The following is a 6,000-nucleotide window of genomic DNA, read 5'->3' as shown; positions in this document are numbered from 1 at the left end:
ATAATAAAAATAGCAATGTATGGAATCTAGTTCAGCAATGAAACCACATTTGTGGAATGTTTCATTTTGTCACAGATACTGGAAAGATTTAACAACTGAGAAGTGGGCTGTGTCAATTTCTACCTGGCCAGAGGGTTATTATGATTTGTAATTCAGGAACGACGGCCAGAGTATTTCACTTTTGTCTCCTACAATGCTGTTATTTGTTAAAAGTTGCTGAACCTTGCTCAGAATCGGCAGAGGGTTATCAAGAAAGCAGCGACCCCTTACCAGGAATTTCCAATAACTGGGAACACTTAACAGGGCAGCTCACCTTCCCTGCAGCGTCTCTCACATCCCGACACGCATATCAATGGCCGGGAAAAGGGCACTGGCGGGTTGGGAGGCCTGCTCTGCTGCCTGCATTGATCAGAGCAGGAGGATTACTGCACTACTGACTGCTAATCAATAGATATTGAGTGCAATCCCCTGCTGTAAATTCAGCCGGGTTAATAAGTGTCCACACAAAACAATGGGCTGAAATACAATCGCCTCATTCAAGGAGCCCAGAGATGTAGGACTGTTTGTTTCAGCAGCTGCCTGTGGGGCAGTGGGAGGGAAGAACTTGGACCTTTACCCGAAATCGGCCTGAAGCAGTCTGAGTTGGCTTAGTGTGCTGTGCTTTAGAGACAGCCTCGTTAGATGGTGTGTTTCTGTGACCCCCAAAGTCTTCATTGGCTACTCTTTCTGTCTGTCTCTCAGATAGAATACTGTTTATGATTTTGTGCCGGAGCCGTGTGGGTCCTGTGCTCCCTGGTATGGAATCCTAGAGTTTCAGACCCTTGCTTGAATATAAAGCATCATCTGCTTAAAAAGAAAAAGGGAAGAAAGGAAAAAAAAAGGAAAGGAAAGGAAGAAGAAAGGAAAGAAGGAAGGAAGGGAGGGAAAAGAAAGAAAGAGAGAGAGAAAAAAAGGAGAGAGAGAAGAAAAAGAAAGAGAGAAAGAAGAAAGAAAAGAAAGAAAGAAAAAGAAAGAAAGAAAGAAAGGGAGAAAAATAAGAAAGGAAGGGAGGAAAGTAAAGAAGACAGCCTATACGTTTTTGTTATGGAGGAAAATGGCAGCAGGCTTGGGCAAATACCATTGAATATTTAATCACACAACCTCTAGGAAAAACAGTGCTGGTGCAACCATACATTTTCTCTGGCAGGGATGAAATTGGAGCTGAAGAATTACAGAGGCGATTTGCATGTTTCTATATCCTTCTGTCTTGTGCTCAGAAAGCCTGTGGTTCCAATTACCAGTAATTCTGACATGGCATACTTAGCTCTGAGACAGAGGCATAGGAACAGCCTCTGTTTTGAATTTCAGTACAGGTAAGGAATACAAAGATTGAAGAGACTTGGAATTTATGTTGTCCATGGTAGGTCTGGATTTTCCTCATGCAGTCCTGATTTGAAGTACCGTATGCTGTGCCATGGAGCGCCGTTCATATTCTTATGCCTGTCTACAATGTATAATAATTTTAGTTTTGTGCATCCCCAACACAACAGCCTTTTCAGGCCCTTGTTGAAGGTAAGTTTCTAAGCATAGATTTTGCAGGTGTGCGGCTTTGAAATTTAAAAAAAAATAAGTCTTTAAAACAAATAATTATATGATAAGAAAGAGAAAGATATGTTCAAGATATTTAAACAGGCAGGATTAACTACCTGCCCTCTAATGCTCATTTTTCCAAAATGCAACATGAAAGATAACGACATCATTTATCAGCTATTAACATTTTCAAATAATAAGTTCAGGCATTTTTAACTTGTAGATTCTTGTTTGCATTTGAGTACTGAATATATCCACTCCTCATTCTGGTTTGGGTTGGCTAGGGTAACCAGAATAAAAAGAAAACACACTGCCCTTCCTTTGTTTATGAGTTCCCCTTCTCCTCTAATGGGTGGTACCGTGACCTTAAGGAGCACGTTTTCAGGTCTCTGTTTCTTCCCCGTTAAAGCCAGGAGTGTTCTGACCTTTTTCTGCTCTAGGTTTATGTGGATTAATTTCTCTCTTATTAATATTTTAACACAGGAATAAAAACAATCTGATTTTATATCAAATTTCAATCCTATGATTTACACTTTTACAATCAAATTATTTTGTTACATGAAAATAACAGACTTTAAGTAGCCTCATGTTTTAGGGGCTTTATAAACTTGCTCAGTGATGACCTCTATCCACGTCTTCTTCATTCTTTTAACTCTGGTGTCTGATTATGTTACCCTGGAGGCTAAGAAGTAAATGGAAGAACAGAGGCAAAGATGCTTTCACAAGTATGGTTTTGATCATTTCTATGCTCAATGTGAGGATAAGGCAATATTTTAAATTCCACATCCCCAAATCAGTATCTCACTTCATTATAGCAATGTTCTATTTGTGTGCAGGGTGTACTCTGGTGGATAAAACACTGAGAGGCCAGTAGAAAGGCTTTCTACTTTCTATTGCTCCTGCAAACGTCCTAAATGAGCAATTTAACTTCCTTCTGCCTGTCTCTTTTACACCAAAATGAAGGTAATAATGTACCCCTTTCTCTTGATTGGGATGTTTTGTGTTCTAAGATAAAAAGATCTTCAATTTTTAAAGTTAATAGTAACCATATATGTATATATTTTATCTAAAATTTGTGTTATGCTCTGGCAATAGAATAAGCTGTTGTAAATCAGGAATATTCTGGAAAATCTTGGTAGAAACACATCTCTAATCTACTGCAAAATGTGCCATGTAGTTTTCCCTTTCAAAGGAAAAATTATTCATTATACACAAGTCTGATGATTTTTTGAAGTTAGTATTCCCTACACGGTCATTATTGAATTTTTAAGTATGCATGAATTTAACAGATAGCTGGTAGTGCTTTATAGCTTTTGAATAAGGTTATAATTCTAGGGTTGTGATTTTGGGTCGTTTTCCTTTTATTTCTCCCAATAAAGGAGGCTTTCATGTCTATAGGGAGCTATCATCTTGACTAATCTACAATGCCAATTCTCTGCTTTTTACTCCAGCAAGAGGCACATGAAATGAGGTTCAGACTCAGTGAAATGGATTCTGAAGTGTAGAAATAGAAAATTGTAATTTTTTAAAAATCTATTTTTTAATTTCTTAGCTATTCTGGATGCATTGTTTCCCATTTATCTTCTGTTTTGTTATCTTTCAATTATAGACAGAGCTGAGGATTTGGAAGTGGAAACAAAGAGAATTTAGAGTATAAAAATAAATAAGGTAATGAGTGACTATGAATAAATCATTTAAGCTCTTAGAACTTCAGGTTATAGCTTATAAAACAGATGTAATATTATCTACTGCAAATAGGTTATTTTCTGAATTAACTGAAATTTTATAAATACTTTACCTCAGAGTGCTTGGTATATTGTATGTGCTCAAATTATCATCATCATCATCTACAGTATACAGAATGACAATGATCCTGACAATGATCCAAATCAAGAAGAAGATAGAAAAGGAAAGGCCAAACAATCTGAAGAGTAAAGCTAAGTGGCTTGAGGAGTCAAGTTTCATTTATTTTCTGTGGCCACCCAGGTCTGCTTATCTGCCTAGAACTACAGTGTCTGAGGAGCATTGATTTGGAATTCAGGGAAGAGAGGGCACATTTGAACATTCTTTTCCTGGGCTAACCATCAATCTACTGGCTGCTCTCTGATGCTAAGGGACAGCATTTTTGGGGGGAGGATTTTTTTTCTACTATTAAATGTCCTTTTATCCCAATCTTTGCTAATACAATCTAGAACTAATTCCTTGCATCTAATTCCTTATTCCACAACCCACACTTGATCTAGTCCCCTTTGCCAAAGGAGTTTAAATAAGATATATTTAGCTAACATATTTGGCATGACTCTCATTAAAGAAATTAGATCAATCTGTGATAAGTGTCTCTTCCAGTCCAAACTTGAGGTCCAACAACACAAGGTGAGCTCCGTTCTGTCTGCCACTCATTCTGACTTTTGGGGCAGGATTTAGCAGAATGTGTAAATCCGCAGGCAGACACTTTAGAAAGGGGATTTGTGTAATCTGCCAGTCCTCAAACTCTGCCTTGTTTCATGCAAGAAATGGTGGGAGATAAGTCCTTGAAGATTAGTCAGGTCTGAGGTACTCCTAGATCAACAGTAAAAGAACTTCTGAGTAAGAGAGAAGTGGTGTTAACACTCCCAAGCTGACTGCTTCTCTTCATTTCCATAAACCAGAGACATTAAGAGAGGAATCAAGAACAACTCTTTGAAATAAAAATGTAGTAATTCAGTAGGAGAAATGGAAGACAAATTTTAGGAAATTTCCCAGAAAATTGAACAAAAGACCAAGAGTTAGAGAATATAAAAGTTAATAAAATTAAAGCCTCAGCCTATAAGATGTACCATCCAAATACTAGGGTTCACAGACAAATCAAAGAAAAAGAAGAGAAGATCTTCAGCGCAATACTTTAAGACCATCTCTCAGAAACAAGGGTGTAAGTTTTGAAATTGAAAGGTCTCACCCAATGTCTAGCACAATGAAAGGAAAAAGGTTGTACAGAGTTATAATATCATGACATACCAGACACTAGAGACGGTGTCTGTGATTCTAAAGGCTACCTGAGAGAAAAACAAGATGTAACTTAAAGAGCCTTTGGATAAAGAATGTCGCTAGACTTTCCAACAGCAACACTAGCAGCTAGAAAAGAAAGGAATCATGCCTTGACAATTCCCAGAAAAATGTATTTCCATTTATATTTGACACTCAGAGAAATAATCAATCAAATATGAGGACAGAATAAAGACATTTTAGTCATTCAAGGTATGAACAATTACTACTACCACATAAGCTAAGCAAGTATACTGAGAAAGGATAACATGAGTTCCAAAGACTTTGGTGATCCATGTGATGTCAAGGTGAAGATGAGATCTGGGATAATGGTGAAGGGAAATCCCAGACCACTCCTGTAAGAGGATCTGAGTAGGAGCCAAGTTCAGATGAGAGTAGGAGGAATAAAAGGGAGCATCAAAATCATTTGAGTGCATCGAGAAATGTTTTATATTTCATAGAGGGATTTGGAAAAGAGTTAGTGAGAGATAGAAAGCAAGCCAGTTGAAAGATGAGAGTTAAGTTCCATGGCAAACAAAAGTTTACAAGGAAGGAACTGTAATTCTACCTACACCACTCAGGAAGCATTCATTAGAGAATAATCTTGCTCAGAATCTTGGTCTATCCAAATTCAGGAAGAGACAACACTGGGACAGTGCACATATTTCATTTTCCTTGATAATTCCTTCCCAACAATGGAGTTGGCATACCCATTCTTCAATTTTGTCTATAGGCAAAGTAAATTAAAGGTTTTCTATGATTGAGTACAGTCTTAAAATCCAGTTAAATAGTTGTGAATAAAACATTGTGAAGACAGGATCACTGGCAATAGTTTTTGATTTTCAGGGTTTGTTGTTTTATCAATTAAGTTTATTTTCCTCTTTAGAGCTTGAAGTGGATGAGTTGTTTGCAGGGAAGGCAGAAGGAAGAAGGGGTGGTGAAGGAAGACTGAAGTTCCAGGCCTTATGAAGGGTTGGAGGCCTGGCCCTATTAATTGTATTTAATACAAAGAAACCTGAGAGGGGAAAAAACAAAAAAAAAAAACAGAAGACTAACTCTGGTGGGGGGTTCACCTTTATATCATTTTTAGTTGTTGTAAAAAAATACCCACAACAAATCGTTAAAGGAGGGAGAGACCATTCCTCCCACTTTTTGCTGTAATTTTTCATTGAAGAAAATTAATAAATTACAGAAAAACAAATACAATGAAGTCACCATTGTTACCATATTGGCATGCTTTTTGCCTGTATTTTGCAAATGTACTTCTTAAATACTGGGCATGGTTTATACCTAAAATTTTACATTATACTTTGTTTTGCTAAAACTTATGAAATGTTCCCATGTCATCTAAAATTCCTTTTATAGTGTATTTTAATGCTGCATAATATTCCATTGTACAGCACTTCATAA

The sequence above is a fragment of the Homo sapiens genome, chromosome 2 (genome assembly GCF_000001405.40).
Source record: "Homo sapiens chromosome 2, GRCh38.p14 Primary Assembly".
NCBI lineage: Eukaryota > Metazoa > Chordata > Mammalia > Primates > Hominidae > Homo > Homo sapiens.
The sequence above is the reverse complement of the archived record's forward strand: the minus strand, read 5'-3'. Positions refer to the sequence as shown.